Source organism: Homo sapiens, chromosome 15 (genome assembly GCF_000001405.40).
Source record: "Homo sapiens chromosome 15, GRCh38.p14 Primary Assembly".
Taxonomy (NCBI): Eukaryota; Metazoa; Chordata; class Mammalia; order Primates; family Hominidae; genus Homo; species Homo sapiens.
The window spans coordinates 66,327,177-66,352,590 of NC_000015.10; the positions used below are offsets into that span (position 1 = coordinate 66,327,177).

Consider the following 25,414-nt stretch of genomic DNA (forward strand, 5'->3'; position numbering starts at 1 on the left):
CTCGGTCTCCCAAAGTGCTGGGATTATAGGCATGAGCCACTGTGTGTGGCTGACCCACCATAATTTGTAATACAGAAGTAGGGAACCTGTTAGTTACCCTTGATTTAATTTCATGTACCCCTTAAGTTACAAAGAAATAATCCTATTTATTTCAGTACTTTTAAAATGCAGCATCTTTGTGACAATATCATAAGATACTACACCAACAGTGAATTTATACCACCCTCAATTGAGTGAGACATTTTTACTCCCTATCTCTAGGATAAAATACTTCTTTCATTAAAAACCAAGTATAGGCAGGCTGGGCACAGTGGCTCATGCCTGTAATCCCAGTACTTTGGGAGGCCGAGGCGGGCAGATCACGAGGTCAGGAGATCGAGACCATTCTGGCTAACACGGTGAAACCCCATCTCCACTAAAAATACAAAAAATTAGCCAGGTGCTGTAATCCCAGCTACTTGGGAGGTTGAGGCAGGAGAATGGCATGAACCCGGGAGGCGGAGGTTGCAGTGACCCAAAATCGCACCACTGCACTCCAGCCTGGGTGACAGAGCGAGACTCTGTCTCAAAAATAAATAAATAAATAAATAAAAACTAAGTATAGGCTGGGTACAGTGGCTCACACCTGTAATCCTAGCACTTTGGGAGGCTGAGGCAGGCACATCACTGAGGTCAGGAGTTCAAGACCAGCCTTGCCAACATGATGAAACTCTCTCTGCTAAAAATACAACGAGCCAGGCATGGCGCACTCTTGTAATCCCAGCTACTCAGAGGCTGAGGTGCGAGAATCGCTTGAACCTGGGAGGCAGAAGTTGCAGTGAGCCAAGATTGTGCCACTACACTCCAGCCTCTGTATGGTCACTGTATGAGCTGTCTGCATGCCAGGCACATGGGACAAGGGCTTTCAGACATCCTCTTGGTTAATTCTTAATGCTGAGGTGATGGCAGCATCATTCATATTTACAGATAAGTCAATTAAGTCTGAAGAGATTAAGTAATTTGCCTGTAATTTAACAGTCAGGGCAGAGCCAAGATTTGAATCCAAGTCTGTTAAACTTGCAAGCTCACATAGTGACCACTTAACACCTTGCCTCTCTGTTCATCATCATGCTCTATTTCTCCTTTCCCCCTTTTCCCTTAGCCAGCCACAATATAGGACTGAATTATATGTTATTAGTTTTATTTTTAATATACCTCTATATTTCCTGGGGCTTTGAAATTATTATTTTGAGGCTGTATGCAGTGGCTCACACCTGTAACCCCAGCACTTTGGGAGGCCGAGGCAGGAGGATCACTGAAGGCCAGGAGTTCAAGACTAGCCTGGGCAACAAAGTGAGACCCTGTCTCTACAAAAAAATTATTTTGAGAATAAATAAATAGAATGCTTACTACCTCTTTAAAAAAGAAAAACTAATTTAGGTTTCTTTTACTTGTACACCAAGTCCATTATTTTACCTATATATAGAATGTTTAAGGTTAAGGATGTAAAGAATTCAATTCAACGAGTATTTGACCACCTATTATAGCCAAGCACTAACTTAACCTAGTATTAAAATCAGTACATGATTCATTTCTACTTAAGAAATGTATTTAAATTCTGACACTCTTGTTTTGTTTAAGCCGTAAAGCAAACTAGATTTCTGTAGTTGAAAAGAGGTGCTTCTGAAACGTGTCCAAAACAAATTTACTGGCAGATGAAGGTATTCAGACGGATGAGTGAAGGGTTCCCCTCAAAGTGTTGTCTTGTAAATTACTGTCTGGGACTAGCTAACGGTTTTTCTGTTCTTTGTCAGGTCCAATAAAACACTGGCTGATTCTCTGGATAATGCGAACGACCCCCACGATCCCATTGTGAACAGGCTACTGCGCTCCATGGCCACGCAGGCCATGTCGAATGCTCTGTACTTCTCCACCGGATCCTGTGCGGAGGAGGAGTTCCATCATTACGGTGAATCATACCATATTCCTATGTGTGGCTGTAACTTTGCGCTAGTTATTTTAAAATAGTTTTTGTTTATTTTGATCTTTTGCTTTCTTTTTGAAGGTCTTGCATTAGATAAATATACCCACTTTACTTCTCCAATAAGAAGATATTCAGATATTGTAGTACACCGCTTGTTAATGGCAGCCATTTCAAAAGATAAGAAAATGGAAATTAAGGGAAATCTGTTCAGCAACAAAGATCTTGAGGAATTATGCAGACATATCAACAACAGAAACCAAGTAAGAGGGAATTTCAAAATTCTCTTACCTGTCATCTCTTGCTAAGAAAATATCAGCTTTATTGTGTAGTACCGTGAAGTATCATATATTCTAGCAAATTAAATTCTAGAATTATTCTAACCAGTGCTTTCAGAACATTTGTAGATGTTCTCAGGTAACTTGTGGATTTGGGAGATTTGACGGTAGATTATCAGATTTTTTTTTTTCCGAAAGGTGGAAATGTAAAGATTCAAGCAACGCATAAAGATATGATGACAGAGGCCAGACGTGGTGGCTCACTTGAGGGCGGATCACTTGAGGTCAGGAATTTGAGACCAGCCTGGCCAATATGGTGAAACCCCATCTCTACAAAAAATACAAAAATTAGCCGGGTGTGATGGCACGCGCCTGTAGTCCCAGTTACTTGGGAGGCTGAGGCAGGAGAATCTCTTGAACCCAGGAGGTGGAGATTGCAGTGGGCCGAGATCACACCACTGCACTCTAGCCTGGGTGACAAAATTGAGACTGTGTCTCAAAAAAAAAAAAAGATATGAAGACAGAAACATCACCTGTTATCTTACCACCCAGAGCTAACAATTAATGATTCTAGACACTGCTAACATTTTTATTTATAAAAATATCGGCCAGATGCGGTGGCTTGCACCTGTATTCCCAGTACTTTGGGAGGCTGAGGCAGGTGGATCACGAGGTCAGGAGATCGAGACCATCCGGGCTAACACAGTGAAACCCCATCTCTACTAAAAATACAAAAAATTAGCATGGTGGCAGGCGCCTGTAGTCCCAGCTACTCAGGAGGCTGAGGCAGGAGAATGGTGTGAACCCGGGAGGCGGAGCTTGCAGTGAGCTGAGATTGCACCACTGCACTCTGGCCTGGGTGACAGAGCGAAACTCCGTCTAAAAAAAAAAAATCACACCGTGCCTGCTGTTTGAATCTGCTTTTTTCATGTAACCCAACTGTTATTGATAGCACACCATGTTATATCATTGTTTTGAAGCTGCTTTCTATTCTATTTCATATTACTAGTTGCTACAAGATTGCACAGCATAGAACTAGACTATTGGGTAACGCAGGAAATTGGAAACTACCTAAATGTTTAATGTAATTTTCTATATCCAATGGTATAGTTGTCTGCTGTGCAATGTTGTAGCACTAGCCATGTGGACTACCTAAATTTAATTAAAATTAGAAGTAGAAATTTGTCTCAGTAGAAATTTGGCCAGTGTCTCAGTCACACTGGCCACATTGTATAGCTCAGTGGCCACTTGTGGTTAGTGGCTACATATTAGGCAACACAGATAGAGAGCATTTCTATCATTGCAGAAAGTTCTGTTGGGCAGCACTGTTCTAAGCAATCAAATTTATAACCATCCTTATGGATACACTTATACAGACATTTCAGATGATTTCCTGGAAAAATTCCTAGAAATGGAATTGCTGAGCCAAAAGGTGTGCATGCACAAATGAAACTGATAGGTCAGGTGCAGTGGCTCACGACTGTAATCCTAGCACTTTTCGAGGTCGAGGCCGGTGGATCACCTGAGTTCAGGAGTTCCAGAGCAGCCTGGCCAACATGGTGAAACCCCGTTACTACTAAAAATACAAAAATTAGCCAGGCATGGTGGTGCATGCCTGTAATCCCAGCTAATCGGGCGGCTGAGGCAGGAGAATCACTTGAACCCGGGAGGCAGAGGTTGCAGGGAGCCAAGATCGCGCCATTGCACTCCAGCCTAGGCGATAGAGTGAGACTCCATCTCAAAAAGAAGACAAAGAAACTTTAATACATATTACTAAATTGTCTTCCTTATCAGTAGTGCTAATTTAGACTTCCACCAATAGGGTTTTCATTGGACAGGCTTGAAAAGAAAGAAAGGCTGGCCGGGCGCGGTGGCTCATGCCTGTAATCCCAGCACTTTGGGAGGCCGAGGCAGGCGGATCACGAGGTCAGGAGATCAAGACCATCCTGGCTAACACAGTGAAACCCCATTTCTACTAAAAATACAAAAAATTACCCGGGCGTGATGGCAGGCGCCTGTAGTCCCAGCTACTCCAGAGGCTGAGGCAGGAGAATGACGTGAACCCAGGAGGTAGAGCTTGCAGTGAGCCGAGATTGCACCACTGTACTCCAGCCTGGGTGACAGAGTGAGACTCCATATCTCAAAAAAAAAAAGAAATGCAAGTAAGACATGTGTAATACTTTTCCTGTACCCAAGGTGAACATGACCCAAATTTGCTGATCTCTAATTTCATGAACTATAAATGGGTTTCATTTTATAAAATAATTCATTTTCTAAGACATTTTTGAGGAGATAATACTAGATGGTTAAGTTCCCACAAAAAGTAATTTAATTTCATAGTAGAGAACAATTTTTATATTAATAGTTTTACAGAATCTCACATTTGAATGAATATGAATTTCGTTTCTTTGGGGAATGCCAGGGGAGTGTTAAAATGCTTTGGAGTTGTGCTTCTTACAGGCAGCACAGCATTCTCAGAAGCAGTCTACTGAGCTCTTCCAGTGCATGTACTTCAAAGACAAAGACCCTGCCACCGAGGAGCGTTGCATATCTGACGGAGTTATTTATTCAATTAGAACAAATGGTGTGCTTCTATTTATACCAAGGTATGTTACATCTAATGCAATGGTGCATAAGAAATCATAGTTAAAAGTGTAGAACACAAACTGTACATTAGATATAATTTATTAAAATATTTAAGCAACTAGTTATCATATGTACATAATGTAATGTATAATTCAGTATATAAATGTGAAGATTGGAGGCCAGGGGTGGCTCACGCCTATAATCCCAGCACTTTGGGAGGCCAAGGTGGGCGGATCACCTGAGGTCAGGAGTTCGAGACCAGCCTGGCCAACATGGTGAAACCCCGTCTCTACTAAAAGTACAAAAATTAGCCGGGCATGGTGACGCATGCCTGAAATCCCAGCTACCTGGGAGGCTGAGGCAGGAGAATCACTTGAACCCGGGAAGCAGAGGTTGCAGTGAGCCAAGATCGTGCCACTGCACTCCAGCCTGGGCGACAGAGCAAGACTCTGTCTCAAAAAAAAAAAAAAAAAGTGAAGACTGGAGTGTGTGTGTGTGTGTGTGTGTGTGTGTGTATATATATACACACACACTTCTATATCCATTTTAGGGTCTTTCTTATCCAGCAAAATACTTTGTTTCCATCTGCTAAGGTGAAATAAATACGTGGAGGTAAACCACAGGAAAAGTGATTTGTTTTTAATCTAGGAGAAAAACTAGTATTCTAGATAAGCATACAAGATCTGTGTACTAAGAATACATTGTCTCTGGATTTATATTCTGGTCATAATATAGGTTTGGGATTAAAGGTGCTGCTTATCTAAAAAATAAAGATGGTTTAGTCATCTCATGTGGCCCAGATAGCTGTTCTGAATGGAAACCAGGATCCCTTCAACGATTTCAAAACAAAATTACCTCTACTACAACAGATGGGGAATCTGTTACGTTCCATTTGTTTGACCATGTAACCGTAAGTCTGTGTTTCTATTAAGTATTATTAATATTTTAAATGTAAGGAATAAATAATGTGATTTAGTAATATGTATTTTCTTCTCTATGCTAGGTAAGAATATCCATACAGGCCTCACGTTGCCATTCTGATACAATCAGACTTGAAATAATTAGTAACAAACCATACAAGATACCAAATACAGAACTTATTCATCAGAGTTCCCCCTTGCTGAAGAGTGAGTTAGTGAAAGAAGTAACTAAATCTGTGGAAGAAGCTCAGCTTGCCCAAGAAGTCAAAGTAAACATCATTCAGGAGGAATATCAAGAATATCGCCAAACAAAGGGAAGGAGCCTATACACACTTCTAGAGGAGATACGGGACCTAGCTCTCCTGGATGTTTCAAACAATTATGGAATATGAGAGGCTCTTACTTCACTAAGAGCTGTCATATGTGAATGTTTTACAGTCTTTTCAAACTTAACATTTAATGTGTGTCACTCAGTGCTCTAGTCGATCAGGACTGGGTAGCTATTTCGCATATATGTAAAATGTTCTCAGCCGGGCACGGTGGCTCACGCCTGTAACCCCAGCACTTTGGGAGGCTGAGGCGGGCGGATCACGAGGTCAGGAGATTGAGACCATCCTGGCTAACACGGTGAAACCCAGTCTCTACTAAAAATACAAAAATTAGCCCGGCGTGGTGGCATGCGCCTGTAGTCCCAGCTACTTGGGAGGCTGAAGCAGGAGAATTGCCTGAACCCAGGAAGAGGAGGTTGCAGTGAGCCGAGATCGCACCACTGCATTCCAGCCTGGGCAACAGAGCGAGACTCCATCTCAAAAAAAAAAAAAAAAAAAAAAAAAGTTCTCTCATTCATTAAAGTTGCATTAAATAAAGTATAATTAGGTCACTATGGAAACAGAGTTTTCAGTAATGAGTGGACAGTAAGTGGTGGCTCTGCAGATGGCCCCTTTCTAATAAGTTTAATAAACCCGAAATTACTGGTTATCTCGTCTCCAATCAGTTCTTTCAAATGTTTTATTTTTCCAGTAATTACGTTTGGGTCATAGGCCCCTCTGACATTTGTCAGGTAATTTTCAGTCACTTTCAGATAATAAGACTTAGTCCTGAGTCCACTTCTCCACTTAAAAATTCCTATTTCATATTTGACTCAACCCTTACCTGCTGTCTCCAGTACTAGCTGGGATTAGGACACAGGGCGGGTGGTAGGATGCACAGGTAAAGTTCTGTCACAGGCCTTCCTTCCCACTCTCCCATTTTGATGAGGTGCATTGGCCTTCCCCTTGTTGGAAACTTGTTACTTTGCCAGCAAACACCCCACTAGAAAAATTAACTCTAGGCCGAGCGCAGTGGCTCACGCCTATAATCCCAGCACTTTGGGAGTCCGAGGCGGGTGGATCACAAGGTCAGGAGTTCAAGACCAGCCTGGCCAAGATGATTAAACCCCATCTCTACTAAAAATACAAAAATTGGCCAGGGACAGTAGCTCATGCCTGTAATCCCAGCACTTTGGGAGGCTGAGGGGGGTGGATCACAAAGTCAAGAGATCAAGACCATCCTGGCCAACATGGTGAAACCCCATCTCTACTAACAATACAAAAATTAGCCTTGTGTGGTGGCAGGTGCCTGTAATCCCAGCTACTTGGGAGGCTGAGGCAGAGAACTGCTTGAACCCAGGAGGCAGAGGTTGCAGTGAGCTGAGATTGCGCCACAGCTCTCCAGCCTGGGCAACAGAGCGAGTCTCCATCTCAAAAAAGAAAAATTAACTCTTCTTTCTCAGTTATCTAATGTAGTTTGTGAGGGTAGACAGAAGCCTGAACCTGCCCTCCTGAGGAAGCAGTTTCTATAGGCATTGGCATCTTGAAACTGCTCTCCATCTTCTAGCTGATCCCCTATTGGCTGCAGTTAGCCACAATCCTCCTAATGCACATGCTTCTTGGCCCATCCCTGTGGCAGTTCCCAGCAGGCCCACAAACCCCTCCCCCACCCCCATCCCAGATGTTCTCCTTGATGTTCTTGTGCTCAACTTCCTGGCTTTTCTTAAATTTTTTTTTTTTTTTTTTGAGATGGAGTGTCGCTCTGTCACCCAGGCAGGAGTGCAGTGGCACGATCTCGGCTCACTGCAAGCTCCACCTCCCAGGTTCACGCCATTCTCCTGCCTCAGCCTCCCGAGTAGCTGGGACTACAGGTGCCTGCCACCATGCCCAGCTAATTTTTTGTGTGTGTATTTTTAGTAGAGACGGGGTTTCACTGTGTTAGCCAGGATGTTCTCGATCTCCTGACCTCGTGATCCACCCACCTCAGCCTCCCAAAGTGCTGGGATTACAGGCGTGAGCCACCACACCTGAGCTAACTTCCTGGCTTTTCAATCAAACCATCTTTGTCACTTCCTGTCCCCACCTGAAGTCAGAAAGCCTGAAGAGAAGATGCCTGCCTGTCCTGGCTTTGCAGATGGAAGCCACTATAGCACCATCACTCTGCCCTTTCCCCAAGGAAAAAGAGAGTGAGAGGCCAAGTGCCATGGAAGATCACTTGAGGCCAGGAGTCCAGGACCAGCCTGGTAAACATAGTGAGACACCATCTCTACAAAAATTAAAAAAGTAGCCAGGCATGGTGGTACATGTCTGCAGTCGCAGCTACTTGGGAAGCTAAGGCAAGAGGATTGCTTGAACCCCAGGAGTTTGAGACTGCAGTGAGTTAGGATTGGGCCACTGTATTCCAGCCTGAGTGACAGTGAGACCAACACACACACACACACACACACAATAGTGGCGGGGGACTGTGGGTAGGGGTGAGGGGGTGGGGTGGGAGAGCCTTTCCTAACACTAACCTTTCTTATTTGTAACTACCCCCTCTACCTGGCAGGAAGAACTCCAATCAGGTGTTCTCACGATTTGGCCCTAACACATCTAACCTCAAAATCAGCATTCCTAAAATCTGCCTTATCCCCTTAATCTTATTTCTGTATCATTATTGTACATGTGCTTCCCAATACTTGGAATCTCCTCCACCAAAAGCAAAGTCTTTCCTGTAAATCCTCCCGAGATGCTATGTTCCCCACGATACTTTGCAAGTTTCACTCCAACTAGTCAGTAAGTTCCCAAAAAGCATTCTTTGAACTACCCTAGCACCTATGAGGGCCAGGCAATGTATCGGCCTTTCATGTGACCTTTTAACTATTAAAGTAACTCCTTAGAAAACATGTAAAAATCTTGTATTTACCAAAAGTGTAAACTGCAGAACTATATAGCAATGAAAACCTCCCATAAAGCCTGTAGATAGTTTTTAAGATAATTTTTACTTCTTTTAAAAAATTGACATTAATATTCAGTATATATGTACATCTCAAAACTTCACCCAGGCTGGGCGCGGTGGCTCACACCTGTAATCCCAGCACTTTGGGAGGCCGAGGGGGGCGGATTACCTGAGGTTAGGAGTTTGAGACCAGCCTGGCCAACATGGTGAAACCTCATCTCTACTAAAAGTACAAAAATTAGCCAAGCGTGGTGGCACACGCCTGTAGTCCCAGCTACTCGGGAGGCTAAGGCAGGAGAATTGCTTGAGCCCAGGAGGCAGAGGTTGCAGTGAGCCAAGACTGTGCCACTGCACTCCAGCCTGGCCAACAGAGTGAGACTCTGTGTCAAAAAAAACAAAACAAAACAAAACAAAAAACTTCAACTAGACTACTCTGGGCACACTGTCCATGGATTAGCCCTGCTTTGCAAGGAGCAGTAAAAAACAGAAACAAAACCTCCCAACTTAGTGAAAACAAGGCATTCAATGACAGACCAGCAGCAGAAACTGCTTATTACCTCCTAATCATTTTATGAAGAAATACCTATATAAAAACAAACACTAAAGAGAACAAATAGATTTAACTAAAGTGACAAGCATAATTATAAATAAATACCAGATTATCAGATTTTAAACAATAATCTATAACAGTTTTACTATCTAAGGATTTTCACTCCAAGAAGAAAAAATACATAGTAACGCCAAGCTTGCAGGACGATGACTTAACAGATACATTTTCTCTTAATGGAAACTTATCTAGCTTCAGTAATATTTCTGGATGTAGCATCAAGTTGCTGTTGCACATTTTTAAAAGACTGGTCCAGCAGTGTTTCCTCTTCATTTAAAGTATTGGCAATAGCATCATTACATGGATTGTCCAGAATGTCTTCGTTTAATCCATTTGACTCCTCCTTTTGATCCTCATCAGTATTAACCTCTTCAACCGTGTGTGCCCTGGGTGTATTCATTAACATATCTGAAAGAAATCATACCATTATTATTCATTATAAGTACCTGATCCAATCTTACCGCATGAGTACAAACCTCTTCAAAAGCTCAGTTTAGTAAAATGAAGTCTAAGATCACTTAATGTTAATTATGATCACTTTCTTCTAAATATATCTTTTTTTTTTTTTTTGAGATGGAGTCTCGCTCCATCACTTTGGCTGGAGTGCAATCGCACGATCTGGGCTCACTGCAACCTCCACCGGGTTCAAGTGATTCTCCTGCCTCAGCCTCCCGAGTAGCTGGGATTACAGGTACCCGCCACTACACCCGGCTAATTTTGGTATTTTTAGAAGAGACAGGGTTTCACTATGTTGGCCAGGCTGGTCTCGAACTCCTGACCTCAGGTGATCCACCCGCCTCAGGCTCCCAAAGTCCTGGGATTACAGGCGTGAGCTACCACGCCTAGCCAATAAGCCCATTTTTATACAATTAAGATCCATTTTAAATGCAAGAGAGGCCAGGCCCGATCCCAACAATGTGGGAGGATCATTGGAGCTCAGGAGTTCAGGACCAGCCTGGGCCACATAGTGAGACCCCATGTCAACAAAACATCAAAAAAAATAAAATAAAAAAAAAAATAATTAGCTGGCTATGGTGGCGAACCATGATCGTGCCACTGCACTCCAGCCTGGGTGACAAAGTGAGATCCTATAACCAAAAAAAAACAAAAAAAAAGCAAAATGGTTTTGAATGTTATTCAACTCACACTCTTGGATCATAGTCAAATGTAACTGTTCTTATTCAAAATCAAACTACTATTGGCCAGGCACAGTGGATCATGCCTGTAATCTCAGCACTTTGGGAGGCTGAGGCAGGCAGATCACTCAAGGTCAGGAGTTTGAAACCAGTCTGGCCAATATGGTGAAACCCTGCCTCTACAAAAAATACAAAAATTAGCCGGACATGGTGGAGCACGCCTGTAATCCCAGCTACTCGGGAGGCTGGGACAGGAGAATCGCTTGAACCTAGGAGGCGGAGGTTGCAGTGGGCCGAGATCAGCAACTGCACTCCAGCCTGGGCAATACAGTGAGGCCCCATCTAAAAAAACAAAACTGAAAACTACTAGAAAGAGGTCTAATAAAAACCAAGTGCGTTTAGGTTTTATGTCAGAGTGATCCATAAGAAACTTTAAAGTACTTATTTCCATTTGGACAAATTTTAAGTTGTATATGATAAACAGAGGTGAGCTTTAAATACCAACTGCCAGGTATACTTGATATTGACAGCAAAGAAGCCACTGCCATCAAGAATAATGCTATCTTCATGTAATGTTTCACATGGTACTAATAAAACATCCATTTATAAAGAAAAAGTAAATTGGCCAGGTGCGGTGGCTCACACCTGTAATCCCAGCACTTTAGGAGACCGAGGTGGGTGGATCACGAGGTTAGGGGATCGAGACCATCCTGGCTGATACGGTGAAACCCTGTCTCTACTAAAAATACAAAAAATTAGCCAGGCGTGGTGGCAGGCACCTGTAGTCCCAGCTACTCGGGAGGCTGAGGCACGAGAATGGCATGGACACGGGAGGCGGGGCTTGCAGTGAGCCGAGATCACGCCATTGCACTCCAGCCTGGGTGACAGAGCAAGACTCCGTCTCAAAAAAAAAAAAAAAAAAAAAAGGAAAAAGTAAATTCAGCTGGGCATGGTGGCTCACACCTGTAATCCCAGGACTTTGGGAGGCTGAGGCAGGCAGATCACTAGGTCAGGAGTTCAAGACCACCCTGGCCAACACAGTGAAATCCCTTCTCTACTAAAAATACAAAAATTAGCCAGGCATGGGGGCACGCACTTGTAGTCCTAGCTACTTGAGGAGGCTGAAGCAGGGGAACTGCTTGAACCCGGGAGGCAGAGGTTGCAGTGAGCCAAGATCACGCCACTGCACTCCAGCCTGAGCTACAGAGCAAGACTCCATCTCAAAAAAAAAAAAAAAAAAAAAAAAAAGCAAAAAGAAAAAGTAAATTCATCTTAACTGAAAAAAAAAGTAGCCAAAATAATTTTCACTTAAAAATGTTAATATATTGGGTGAAACTTCGTTTACAACATGGTATCTAGTTATTATAATTCTTTTTTTTTTTGTAGAGACGGGGACTCACTATGTTGCCCAGGCTGGTCTTGAACTCCCAGGCTCAAGTGATCTGCCCACCTCAGCCTCCCAAAGTGCTGGGATTACAGGCAAGAGACACTGTGCTGGGCCTATAATTCTTATTTTTCCATTTTGAAAGGAAAAACTGAATGGGAAATTAAGAAAGATATACGCAATCCTGCTTACTTCATTCAAAACCAACTTGCAATTCTTTCTAAATATAGTTTTAACAAATTTGGTTATATAGTTTCCAAACCCACAATGTGTGTTAAAAACAGCAAATTTAGGCCAGGTACACTGGCTCATACCTGCAATCCCAGCACTTTGGAAGCCCAATGCTGGAGGATTGCTTGAGACTAGAAGTTCAAGGCTGCAGTGAGTCAAGATCACACCACTGCACTCTAGCCTGGGTGACAGATTGACAACGTTTCTAAAAATACTAATAATATATTTTTTAATAAAGCAAATCTTCAGGCAGTTTTAGAAGTGAAAAGGGAATGCTAAAGATAAGCAAATTAAACAGCTACTTTCAAAAGTACAGCTCACAACCAAGTGACAAAACACAAGAAAAAGCATTTTTTTTTTTTTGAGACGGAGTCTTGCTCTGTCACCCAGGCTGGAGTGCAGTGGCCCGATCTCAGCTCACTGCAACCTCCACCTCCCAGGTTCAAGCGATTCTCCTGCCTCAGCCTCCCAAGCAGCTGGGTTTACAGGCAGGTACACACCACCATGCCCGGCAAATTTTTGTATTTTTAGTAGAGACGGGTTTTCACCATGTTGGCCAGGATGGTCTCGATCTCCTGACCTTGTGATCCACCCACTTCAGCCTCCCAAAGTACTGGGATTACAGGCGTGAGCCACTGCGCCTGGCCTTTTTTTTTTTTTTTTTTTTTTTGAGATGGAGTTTTGCTCTTGTTGCCCAGGCTGGAGTGCAATGGGTTGATCTCAGCTCACTGCAACCTCTGCCTCCTGGGTTCAAGCAATTCTCCTGCCTCAGCCTCCCAAGTGGCTGGGATTACAGGTGCACACCACCATGCACAGTTAATTTTTGTATTTTTAGTAGAGGTGGGGTTTCACCATGTTGGCCAGGCTGGTCTTGAACTGCTGACCTCGGGTGATGGCCCACTTTGGCCTCCTAAAGTGCTGGGATTACAGGCATGAGCCACTGCACCTGGCCTATTTTTTTCTTTATTTATTGTTATAATTATTGTCCTAAAGGTAATAGTATATGGCACATGCTTTAAGGAGTCAGGGAAGAATGTTTATTAAGAATTTAAAATCAATTTCAAGTGATTAAAATAAATTCTTTTTTTTTTGAGAGCGTCTCACTCAAGTCACCCAGGCTGGAGTGCAGTGGCACGATCTTGGCTCACTGCAATCTCCACCTTCTTGATTCAGGTGATTCTCGTACCTCAGCCTCCCAAGTAGTTGGGATTACTGGTGTGCACCACCACACCTGGCTAATTTTTGTAATTTTAGTAGAGATGGGGTTTCATCATGTTGGCCAGGCTGGTCTTGAACTCCTGACCTCAAGCGATCCACCTACCTTGGCCTCCCAAAGTGCTGAGATTACAGGCATGAGCCACCACGCCTGGCCAGGTGATTAAAATAATTTTTTAAGAGGTACTCAGCTATCCAGAAAACCATCTTGGATTCATTTATTCTTTAAGGAACACAGCCATTCTCTCTCTCCTCTCTCACACACACTGTCTCTAAAATATACATAAACTTAATATCACACTTTTCCACTCCTAGAAGTATTTTATTTTGGGGGCTAGCAGAGAAGTTAAAATTTCTAACATGTCCTTGATATATTAATGGTAGCATATAAAATTTGGCATAAAATTTACCATTTCCTAGGGTCTGACTATTACTCAGCAGCTTTGCCTGCCTTCTTTCCAAGGCCAGTTGTTTATTTCTCTCAATTCTTTGTTGTTGCTCTTCTGTTAGGCTTCTACTTAACTCAGAAGCAAACATCTCACTTTCAGATAAGTTTGTCAGAAAGGGATCTAATTCAGTAGAAGTGACATCATGTTCATTATTCTCCGCAACTTCATCTGCAATAGAAAAGAAATAGTACATCTGTGGTGTTAGACTAGTTAGAGAAGGGCTTCTCATTGAAAAAGAATTTAAAGTGGCAAGGTGACAGACCTGAAAAAACAATTTGTGAAGTATAAGAATGTTGTGGGCCGGGCGCGGTGGCTCACGCCTGTAATCCCAGCACTTTGGGAGGCCGAGGCGGGCGGATCACGAGGTCAGGAGATCGAGACCATCCCGGCTAACACGGTGAAACCCCGTCTCTACTAAAAATACAAAAAATTAGCCGGGCGTAGTGGCGGGCGCCTGTAGTCCCAGCTACTTGGGAGGCTGAGGCAGGAGAATGGCGTGAACCCGGGAGGCGGAGCTTGCAGTGAGCCGAGATCCCGCCACTGCACTCCAGCCTGGGCGACAGAGCGAGACTCCGTCTCAAAAAAAAAAAAAAAAAAAAAAAAAAAAAAGAATGTTGTGAATACATGCTTGATTCAATTAAATAAGAAATATTTATAAATCAGTTTAAAGAGGAATGCTAAGTCAAATAAAAATACAATTTAAAATATGCATGAAGGCCGGGCGCGGTGGCTCACGCCTGTAATCCCAACACTTTGGGAAGCCGAGGCGGGTGGATCATGAGGTCAGGAGTTCAAGACCAGTCTGGCCAACATGGTGAAACCCCATCTCTACTAAAAATACAAAAATTAGCTGGGCATGGTGGCGCATGCCTATAATCCCAGCTACTCAGGAGGCTGAGGCAGGAGAATTGCTTGAACCGGGACCCGGGAGGCGGAGGCAGCAGTGAGCAAGATTGCGCCACTGCACTCCAGCCTGGGCTACAGAGCAAGACTGTCTCAAAAAAAAAAAAAAAAAAAAAAGAAAGAAACAAAAAGTTCTTGATTGTAATTAGAAATATTTTATGCTTGGCCTAATCAAAGAGCTTAAGGAATCCAAACCATATTCTTGTTCTACATTAAACCAACACATTTCAATAGTTTCCCAGTGTCAATATGGGAAAAGGTAATTTTAATACATTTTATTTTATTTTTTGAGACGGAGTTTCACTCTTGTCACCCAGGCTGGAGTGCAATGGTTCGATCTTGGCTCATTGCAACCTCCGCCTCCCAGATTCATGTGATTCTCCTCCATCAGCCTCCCGAGAAGCTGGGATTACAGGCACCCGCCACCATGCCCAGCTAATTTTTGTATTTTTAGTAGAGACAGGGTTTCACCGTATTGGCCAGGCTGGTCTCAAATTCCTGACCTGAGGTGATCCACATGCCTCAGCCTCCCAAAGTGCTGAGATTACAAGCGTGAGCCAATGCACCCGGCCAGTAAAAGGTAATTTTATGTAGGACATTATCTTTTGTAGAGTTAAACACAGACAAATGAAAAAAGAAAAGAAATTTAAAACTTTATGGACATATTTCCAAATTAATTTCTTTTTAAATTCAGTGTGCTCTACATTATAAGTAATACATTATTAAAGCCCTGTAAACCAGTTAACTCAAGGTAGGATGTCCCCAACATGATCCACAGTGGTATTAAAGTAAATAATAGATCTTCCATTTATATTTCATTTAAGAATTAAGAAAAACTATGTTTTACTAACATATTTAAAATAAGACTGGCAGTGGTTAACTGTCCCTTGTCCTTATGACAGAGTTACTGTCTGATCTGTGAGCCACTCTATAGGCAAGATCCATATTGTAAAAGGGTGGAGAATGGGGCCCCCACTGACTTTACAATGTCAGATATACAGCTGTTTCTGATTGCCCAGTCAAATAAACTGATGGATTTCATCTTACTAATTTAACCAAACAACCCCAACAAAATGTACAAGTGTTAGGTTAAAAAGATTCTACAAAATAACAAAATGCCTGTAGGTAGAATAGAAGCACAAGCAAAAAATAAAAAAAACAGCAGAGCTGACACTTTACCTTCTATCTACATCATCCATATTATGAAATTAAAAGAAAGATAAACCCCATCACATCTGACAAGTTGGTCAAAAAATTCAAGTCACCATTTGAAATATTTATATACATTATCCTTGTTCTATGTATATATTATGCCTTGAAATATTAGCTAATTATAGAAAAACTATCACAATTAAAAAAACATTTAAAACATAAAGACAGACCTTTACAATTATTTCAGTGAGATTTAAAAATCATGATACTTAATTCAGCCCTTTACAATCAAACTCCCTTTTAAGGTTTCTTCCTTAATAGTGAAAAACGAAAAGCCACTTTTCCTTCCTGACATGGAAAACAAAAATGTAGGAAGAAACTAAAATGGCCTCCATTGTCAGGAAATACTGATAAGAGTATATGTATGAAACATTGCTGAAGCAGTTAAGAAACAAGCATTAGAGCCACTTATGAGCCAGGCGCAGTGGCCCACACCTGTAATCCCAGCACTTTTGGGGGCCGAGGCAGGCAGATCACCTGAGGTGAGGAGTTCAAGACCAGTCGGACCAACATGGTGAAACCCCGTCTCTACTAAAAATACAAAATTAGTCGGGCATGGTGGCACATGACTGTAATCCCACCTACTCAGGAGGCTGAGGCAGGAGAATCACTTGAACCCGGGAGGCAGAGGTTGCAGTGAGCCGAGATCACACCACTGCACTCCAGCCTGGGCAACAAGAGTGAAACTCCGTCTCAAAAAAAGAACCACTTATGAAACATGGGGTTTTTAATGTGCTTCATCTTACAGGGTTGCAGGATTCTAAATCAATAAGAAAATACATAAATAACTACTTTTTTTTTGTTTTTTTCAAGAGATGGGGACTCACTCTGTCACCCAGGCTAGAGTACAGTGGTATGATCATAGCTCACTCCAGCCTCAAACTCCTTGGACTCAAAGGATCCTCCTGCCTCAGCCTTCTAAATAGCTGGGACTATAGGTGTTGACCACTCTGGTCCCTAACTCCTGGCTTCAAATGAACTCAAAGAACTAATTTTGACTGGACAAGGTGGCTCACGCCTGTAATCATGGCCCTTTGGGAGATTGAGGCAGAAGGATTGCTTGAGAACAAGAGTTCAAGACCAACATCACCAACATAGCAAGACCTCGTCTCTATTACAAAAAAAAGTAAAAAAAAAAGCAAAAAACTACTTTTTATGAACCAAGAAAACAAAGGTATCTTCAGTAGTAAATGACCTATTTATATAAACAATATATTTTGTAAGCAGCAGCTGGTTCCTTTGAGTAGGATTAAAATGAGATTTAAAGCTGGGTGCAGCAGCTCACGCCTATAATCCCAGCACTTTGGGAACCCAAGGTGGGAGGATCACATGGACCCAGGAGTTTGAGACCAGCCTGCAAAACATAGGGAGACCCTTTCTCTACAAAAAAAAAAAGAAAAAAAAAAAAAAGAAAAACTTGGGCAGGCAGGTGGTGCATGCCTGTAATCCAAACTACTCAGGAGACTGAGGTGGCAGGATTGCTTAAGCCCTGGAGGTCGAGGCTGCAGAGCTATGATCATGCCACTGTGCTCCACCCTGGGCAACAGAGTGAGGCCCTGCCTCGAAAAGAAATAAGTAAATAAAAATGAAATTTTAAAAAATTAGAAGTACGCATGAAATTCATTTACTGCAACATTCATTGGCAAGTGATTATGGCAAAGAAGCTAAAGCTAGAAATATTCAGTGTGTTACAGGATGCCGTCATTGTAGTAAAGACAAACTAAAACATAAGTAAACTATATAAAAATTAAAGGGAAACAAGGGCAATGCAAAAGGAAACAGCATAGGGGAGTCAGAAATGATGGGAGTGGGGATGCAACTATAACAGTGTAATGGGGAGGCTTCACCAAGTTGTCATTTGAGCACAGTTTGAGGAGTGTAAGACAGTCATGCGGACTTGAGGGGTACAAGGGAAGAGTGTTCCAGGCAGAGTACGGCAATACAAAAGCCTTAGAATAAAAATGTGCCTGAAATGTCCAAGGAACAGCTGGAGGCCAAGCACAGTGGCTCACACCTGTAATCCCGGCACGTTGGGAGGCCAAGGCAGACTGTTTGAGGCCAGGAGATACAGACCAGCTTGGGCAACATAGTGAGATCCTGTCACTACAAAAACTAAATTTAGGCCGGGCACAGTGGCTCACTGGCTCACGCCTGTAACTCTAGCACTTTGGGAGGCCAAGGCAGGTGGATCAACTGAAATCAGGAGTTTGAGACAAGCCTGGCCAACGTGATGAAACCCTGTCTCTACTAAAAATACAAAAATTAGCCAGGTGTGGTGGTGCACACCTGTAATCCCAGCTACTGGGAGGCTGAGGCAGGAGAATCACTTGAACTGAGGTGGAGGTTGCAGTGAGCCGAGATCGCACCACTGCACTCCAGCCTAGGCAACAGAGTGAGACTCCGTCTCAAAAAAAAAAAAGTACATTACAAATCACATCCGTATAGAAGTAAATGTATTTAATCAACAAATAAAATGGTCAAAACATTTTTACTTCTGTGGCACCTGATCAAAAAAATTTGGAGACTATTAAGATACAAATTAAATATATGACACAACAAACAAAAATCTCAGATTCAGTTCTCTTATTTGTACCCTATATTTCAGCATGCTTGTAATTCTCTGAATGGTCCATGTTAATTTATCTCCTTTTTTTTTTTTTGAGACAGAGTTTCACTCTTTTTGCCCAGGCTGGAGTGTAATGGCGCAATCTCGGATCACTGCAACCTCCGCCTTCCGGGTTCAAGCAATTCTACTGCCTTAGCCTCCCGAGTAACTAGGATTACAGGCATGTGCCACTACGCCAGGCTAATTTTTTGTATTTTTAGTAGAGATGGGGTTTCACCATGTTGGCCAGGCTGGTCTCGAACTCCTGGCCTCAAGTGATCCGCCCGTCTTGGCCTCCCAAAGTGCTAGGATTACAAGCGTGAGCCACTGCGCCTGGCCTTAATTTATCTTTTTTTTTTTTTTTTTTTACTGCCATAGAATATAGAGCCTGAAATCCAAGTTAATTTACACCTCTGCATAGATGGCTCCCCCATTCAAAATCACCTCTGCCTGACCTCTACTGTTCATTCAAAATACTTTTTTTCTTTTTAATTTCTTTTTTCTTCCTCTCACCCCCAAATCAAAATTCTTCTGAATCCTCCTTTGTGAAGTTCTCCCTCTACCCCCAGGGACATGTAACTATGCTCTCCTTTGCATCCCACCCTGCGACCTACTCATACCTCTAATTACAACACCTACCACACTACTGGCAATGTTGTATGTCTGATTCATTCACTACTGTATTTGCCCACAAAGGGGCCTGATCGTAGTCATTTTTTTAGCCCTGAACCTTTATCACATACCGGGCACCTCAAAAAGTAACCCAGTAGTATATGCTGTGGAATTTAGAACTGTAATAACTCATTCCTTTACATATACCCAATCCTATGCCATCCATACATACCATATTTTACCAAGAAATTTAAATCACGGATTATTTAAATCACATTCCTTTTTTTTTTTGAGACGGAGTCTTGCTGTCGCCCAGGCTGGAGTGCAGTGGCGTGATCTCGGCTCACTGCAAGCTCCACCTCCTAGGTTCACACCATTCTCCTGCCTCAGCCTCCCGAATAGCTGGGACTACAGGTGCCCGCCACCACACCCGGCTAATTTTTTTTATTATTTTTTAGTAGAGACGGGGTTTCACCATGTTAGCCAGGATGGTCTCGATCTCCTGACCTTGTGATCCACCCGCCTCGGCCTCTCAAAGTGCTGGGATTACAGGCGTGAGCCACCGCGCCCGGCCTAAATCACATTCCTTTACATGTTTGAAAGTAGTTTATAAATAACTTTAGGGTATTCTACATGGAACCTGTATTTTCTTCCACATCTGTTAAAAGTTAAAAAACAAAAACAAACATGTATGGAGCCATCGCACAGAAAATCTGATAACTATACAGACCCTGTCGGCAGGAACCATCTGTTTTAATGTGTGTGACTGTCTATGGTTGCACTGTACAACTAACAAATGCAATCAATACCAGGAACAGTCACAAAGGTCTCACTAAAGTCCTATATCCGAGAGCTGCGCTCCAAGTGAAATGCAAACTTTCATCATAAATTATTTTGCCTAATTTCCCAGTACCACTTTATCCAATGGTGTATATGTATATGAACACTTTTATCTTGATATATATTTTTATTAACAAGTGCTATATAGGATCAGTGGGTCACCAGAGTTTTCAAAAGTTCATATTCTACAACAAATTTGATATACAACATTCTAGATGTACCAAGGCTTTGTTTTTTTTGAGACAAGAGTCTCACTCTGTCACCCAGGCTGGATTGCAACGACGCAATCTCGGCTCACTGCAACCTCCACCTCCTGGATTCAAGTTAATTCTCCTGCCTCAGCCTCCTGAGTAGCTGGGATTACAGGCGTGCACCACCCCACTCAGCTAATTTTTGTATTTTCAGTACAGATGGGGTTTCCCCATGTTGGTCAGGCTGTTCCCAAACTCCTGACCTCAAGTGAACTGCCCACCTCAGCCTCCCAAAGTGCTGGGATTATAGGCATGAGCCACCACGCCCAGCCCACTACCAAGGCATTTTAACTTATCTATTTATTGTACTTTACCATACTCTAATTATATACACAATATGGACTAAGGATCTGGTCCTATAATACTGCCTCCTCTAACTACTTCTATTCTTTCTTTCTTTTTTTTTTTTTTTTCCAGACAAGGTCTCTCACCCTATTTATTGCCCAGAGTATAGTGGTGTGATCCTGGTTCACTGCAGCCTTGAACTCCTGGGCTCAAGTGATCCTCCCGCCTCAACCCCCTGAGTAGCTACAACAGGCATGTGCCACCACACCTGATTAACTTTTTAAAAATTTTTGTAGATGGGGTCTCACTCGGTTGCCCGGGCTGATCTCCAACTCTAGGATTCAAGTAATCCTACCTCCATGGCCTCCCAAAGAACTGGGGTTGCTCCAAAGGTAATGAGTTATCAATTCACAGTCACAGATCAAACTCCTTGTTCTACTCTTTCCTCCCTTTTCACTATTGCATGTGGCTAGTCTTCAAAAAAAAAATAACAAGCCAGGCGCAGTGGCTCACGCCTATAATCCCAGCACTTTGGGAGGCCAAGGTGGGCGGATCACGAGGTCAGGAGTTCAAAAACAGCCTGGCCAACATGGTGAAACCCCATCTCTACTAAAAAAAAAAAAAAAAAAAAAAATACAAAAATTAACTGGGCATGGTGGCGCATGCCTGTGATCCCAGCTACTCAGGAGGCTGAGGCAGGAGAATTGCTTGAACTGGGACCCAGGAGATGGAGGTTGTAGTGAGCCGAGATCATGCCACTGCACTCCAGCCTGGGCTACAGAGTGAGACTCCAGCTCAAAAAAAAAAAAGTTGGCCAGGCACAGTATGGCTTGAGGCCAGGAGTGTGAGAGCAGCCAAGGCAACGCAGGGAGATCCCCATCTCTACAAAAATTTTAAAATTAGCCAGGCACAATGGCATGCACCTGCAGTCCCAGCTACTCGGGAGGCTGAGGCGGGAGGATCCCTTAAGCCCAGGAGTTGAAGGCTGCAGTAAGCTATGATTGTGCTACTGCACTCCAGACTGGGTGACAGAGCAAGATTCTGTCCCTAAACATGAAACAAAAAAGCAAAGCGCTGGGATTACAGGGTTGAGCCACCACACCCTGCCTAGATCTATTTCTAAAAGCAAAATTGTTATAAAGTAGATAAACCTATATTCTTACCATTATTGCTAACAAAATCTTCATGTAAAATAGGGAGATCAAGTCGAATTCGTTTTAAACAGGTCTGAAAATGAAAAGAGATTATTTATTTTTACCTCTTTACCAATCATGTTGGGGGGAGATAATTTGCTATTACTTTTCCCTCTCTACCAAAAGAGATTTCAAAATGAACACTTTAAACAGCAATTTAGCCTCAACTAAATCTACCCTACCATTTAGCATGTGAATGATATTTATAATCATCTCAACACTTACCTGAACTTCCTTTTTACTTCCCAGGTATTCAACTCTGTCAATAAAATCCTCAAACTGCAGTTTAGGGAATAGCCTATGTGCCCAGTGCTCCATGTGTCTGATTAGCATCTTCAAGTCTTCAGCCTGCCACATAAAAATAAAAATGCTAAACAGGAGTCTCATTCTCACAGCTGACCCCGTCAGCAACTTTCAGAACTGAAAAGCTATGCCAAAATCACTGGGGTCATTTTATATTTATAAGGTTGAAAAACTTATAAAAGGAACTTTAATAAGAAAAATATTGGCCAGACACAGTGGTTCACACCTGTAATTCTAGCACTATGGGAGGCCTAGGGGGACGGATCACTTGAGCTAAGGAGTTTAAGACCAGCCTGGGAAACATGGTGAGACCCCATATCTACTAAAAATACAAAACAATAGCCAGGCATGGTGGTGTACACCTGTGGACCCAGCTACTCAGGTGGCTGAGGTGAAAGGACTCCCTGAGCCTGGGGGGCAGAGGTTGCAGTGAGCCAAGTTCACACCACTGCACTCCAGACTGGGTGACAGCGAGATCCTATATCCAAAAAAAAGAGAGAAAATTATTAAGAACTTAGAGGACTGCAGTCTAAAAGAGCACTGGATACAGGGGTTTTTTTTGTTTTTTTGGTTTTTTTGGTTTTTTTCAGAGAGATTCTCGCTTTCTTACCCAAGCTGAAGTGCAAGGGCGCAATCTTGGCTCACTACAACCTCAGCCTCCCGGGTTTAAGCAATTCTCATGCCTCAGCCTCCCAAGTAGCTGGGATTAGAGGTGTGCGCCACCACACCTGGCCTAAATTTTGTATTTTTTAGTAGAGAGGAGGTTTTGCCATGTTGGCCAGGCTGGTCTTGAACTCCTGGCCTCAAGTGATCCGCCCACCCTGGCCTCCCAAAGTGCTGGGATTACAGCATGAGCCATAGCACCCCGCCTGGATACAGATTCATAAAAATTAGATGAAAAAAAATCCCAGTACAAAAACTTAATAAAGTTGGCCAGGCGCAGTGTCTCACGCCTGTAATCCCAGCACTGTGGGAGGCCGAGGCGGGTGGATGACCTGAGTCAGGAGTTCCAGACCAGCTTGGCCAACATGGTGATACCCCATCTCTACCAAAAATACAAAAATTAGTTGGGCGTGGTGGTGGGCACTTGCAATCCCAGCTACTTGGGAGGCTGAAGCAGTAGAATCGCTTGAACCCAAGCGGCGGAGGTTGCAGTGAGCCAAGGTCGAGCCATTGCACTCCAGCCTGGGTGACAAGGGCAAAACTTCATCTCAAAAAAACAAAAAAAAAAACACTTAATAAAGTTAAAAGATAGTAGGCCGGGCAGTGGCTCACGCCTGTAATCCCAGCACTTTGGGAGGCCAAGGCGGGCGGATCACGAGGTCAGGAGATCAAGACCATCCTGGCTAACACGGTGAAACCCCGTCTCTACTAAAAATACAAAAAAAAAAAATTAGCCAGGCCTGTTGGCGGGCGCCTGTAGTCCCAGCTACTCGGGAGGCTAAGGCAGGAGAATGGCGTAAACCTGGGAGGTGGAGCTGGCAGTGAGCCTAGATTGCGCCACTGCACTCCAGCCTGGGCAACAGAGCAAGCAAGACTCCGTCTTAAAAAAAAAAAAAAAAAAAAAAGAATATATTAGATATTAGAAACACTTGAAAAACTACAAAACTCTCTAAAAATATACTATCATCTGCAAAAAATTATACCTACACTCCTACATAATTCAAAAATAGATTTCAAAATGTGCATTTGTAAAGTGATTCAGTTACTAAATGTATTCATTTTTTAACCACACTTTACTGACATTTATTATGAACCAGGCACTGTGCCACATCTTGGGGACACATAAGTGACTGATACAGGCAGAGTCCTTGCCCTCATGAAATTTAAAACTTTGAGGTAGACAAAGTAAATTTTATTCCTGTAAATTATAAAATAAAAACTGAGACTTTACAGACACAGGTGTGATTTTCCTATAGCCAAGGTTTAAGCAGCAAAAAATGAGACTGCACAAGACATGCTTTCTAATTCTTCAAACAGTTCCCTTTCTAGTACATCACAACTGTTTCTCAAGACATACGACGACTAAGGATAGTATCTTAAAGCATTCTGAGATTTCCAAGATCATAATGGGTCCACATTTTTATTGCTATTTTAAAAAACAAAGGTCTAACATAAAAATCAGTTCTTACCTCATGACCTTTACCTTTGAATTTTGCCTTATCAAATACATGCCTTAAGGCTGGAAGTCCTCTCTCTGAAATTAATCTGTGAATAAAAGTATGTTTTTAATTTCAAGTTTTATTTTCTTTTTTTTTTTTTTGAGACGGAGTCTCACTCTGTCGCCCAGGCTGGGATGCGGTGGCGCGATCTCGGGTCACTGCAAGCTCGGCCTCCCCCAGGTTCACGTCATTCTCCTGCCTCAGCCTCCCAAGTAGCTGGGACTACAGGCACCCACCACTGCACCCAGCTAATTTTTTGTATTTTTAGTAGAGACGGGGTTTCACCGTATTAGCCAGGATGGTCTCAATCTCCTGACCTCGTGATCCGCCCACGTAGGCCTCCCAAAGAGCTGGGATTATAGGCGTGAGCTACCACGCCCAGCCTAATTTCAAGTTTTCTAGAGTTTGGTCCAAAGCAAGACCATAAGAAAAAATATGTTCTGCTGAACTAAAAAAAAGTTTTTAGAAATATAAGAGCTCCACATCATACCAACCAAAAGTTTATAACATTAGAAGAAAAACAATGGATATTAAAAATAAAAAGTATAAATGTATAAGAATATAGTAAATGTACCTCTGAGCATCCAGCTTGGGTATATTTCTTTTAACTGTTCTCTTTGGAGGTACACGAACAGGTGCTCCATTTCCTGACTCTGGTGAAACAAACCACGATTCAGTATTACTGTACTTAAATGATTTGTATTATTTATTATGTATCATTTCCAAGCTGATAAGATAACTAAACATGGGACACCTTTTTTTGAAACAGGGTCTCACTCTGTTGCCCATGCTGGAGTGCAGTGGTGCGATCTTGGCTCACTGCAGCCTCAAACTCCTAGGCTCAAGAGATTCTTCTGCCTCAGTATCCCGAGTACCTGGAAGTACAGGTGCTGCCTACCACACCCGGCTAATTTTTAAATCTTTAGTAGAGTTGAGGTCTCGCCAGGCTGGTCTTGAACTCCTGGGCTCAAGCCATCCTCCTGCCTCGGCCTCCCAAAGTGCTGGGATTACAGGCAGGACCCACTGTGCCCAGCCT

General features: G+C 42.8%; 2 protein-coding genes and 1 non-coding gene across 27 annotated transcripts in view, besides 1 other annotated feature; 1 reads left to right on the forward strand and 2 right to left on the reverse strand.

Moving 5' to 3' along the window:
• DIS3L (DIS3 like exosome 3'-5' exoribonuclease) overlaps positions 1 to 6,722 on the forward strand; it is a 40,590-nt gene extending 33,868 nt beyond the window's left edge. For 13 of the 14 annotated variants that reach the window (NM_133375.5, NM_001323937.2, NM_001323936.2 and 10 more), the window contains 5 exons: positions 1,794 to 1,948; positions 2,045 to 2,223; positions 4,699 to 4,844; positions 5,560 to 5,734; positions 5,828 to 6,722. In NM_133375.5, coding sequence (NP_588616.1) covers positions 1,794 to 1,948; positions 2,045 to 2,223; positions 4,699 to 4,844; positions 5,560 to 5,734; positions 5,828 to 6,136 — 964 coding nt within the window. In that variant the 3' untranslated portion in view covers positions 6,137 to 6,722. The other variant, XM_005254146.5, reaches the window with a different exon arrangement.
• The window catches only part of TIPIN (TIMELESS interacting protein), a 50,527-nt gene continuing 34,127 nt past the window's right edge, over positions 9,015 to 25,414 (reverse strand). For 7 of the 12 annotated variants that reach the window (NM_001398281.1, XM_017022390.2, XM_024449971.2 and 4 more), the window contains 6 exons: positions 24,953 to 25,031; positions 24,349 to 24,424; positions 22,139 to 22,261; positions 21,884 to 21,947; positions 13,974 to 14,180; positions 9,015 to 10,005 (listed from right to left, as the gene is read on the reverse strand). In NM_001398281.1, the coding sequence (NP_001385210.1) occupies positions 9,782 to 10,005; positions 13,974 to 14,180; positions 21,884 to 21,947; positions 22,139 to 22,261; positions 24,349 to 24,424; positions 24,953 to 25,031 (773 nt within the window). In that variant the 3' untranslated portion in view covers positions 9,015 to 9,781. Of the gene's footprint in view, positions 10,006 to 13,973; positions 14,181 to 21,883; positions 21,948 to 22,138; positions 22,262 to 24,348; positions 24,425 to 24,952; positions 25,034 to 25,414 lie in introns of those variants that run through there. The other 5 variants (NM_001398285.1, NM_001398286.1, NM_001289986.2 and 2 more) reach the window with 2 other exon arrangements.
• Positions 11,358 to 11,593: a silencer, noted in NCBI's record as "fragment chr15:66630872-66631107 (GRCh37/hg19 assembly coordinates)". NCBI's record gives its function as "represses an EF-1alpha promoter that drives an FKBP-Casp9 reporter gene in an ReSE screen in HepG2 liver carcinoma cells {active_cell/tissue: HepG2}" and the evidence as "EXISTENCE:reporter gene assay evidence [ECO:0000049][PMID:32094911]".
• On the reverse strand, positions 20,030 to 20,166 carry SCARNA14 (small Cajal body-specific RNA 14). The gene has a single exon (NR_004388.1).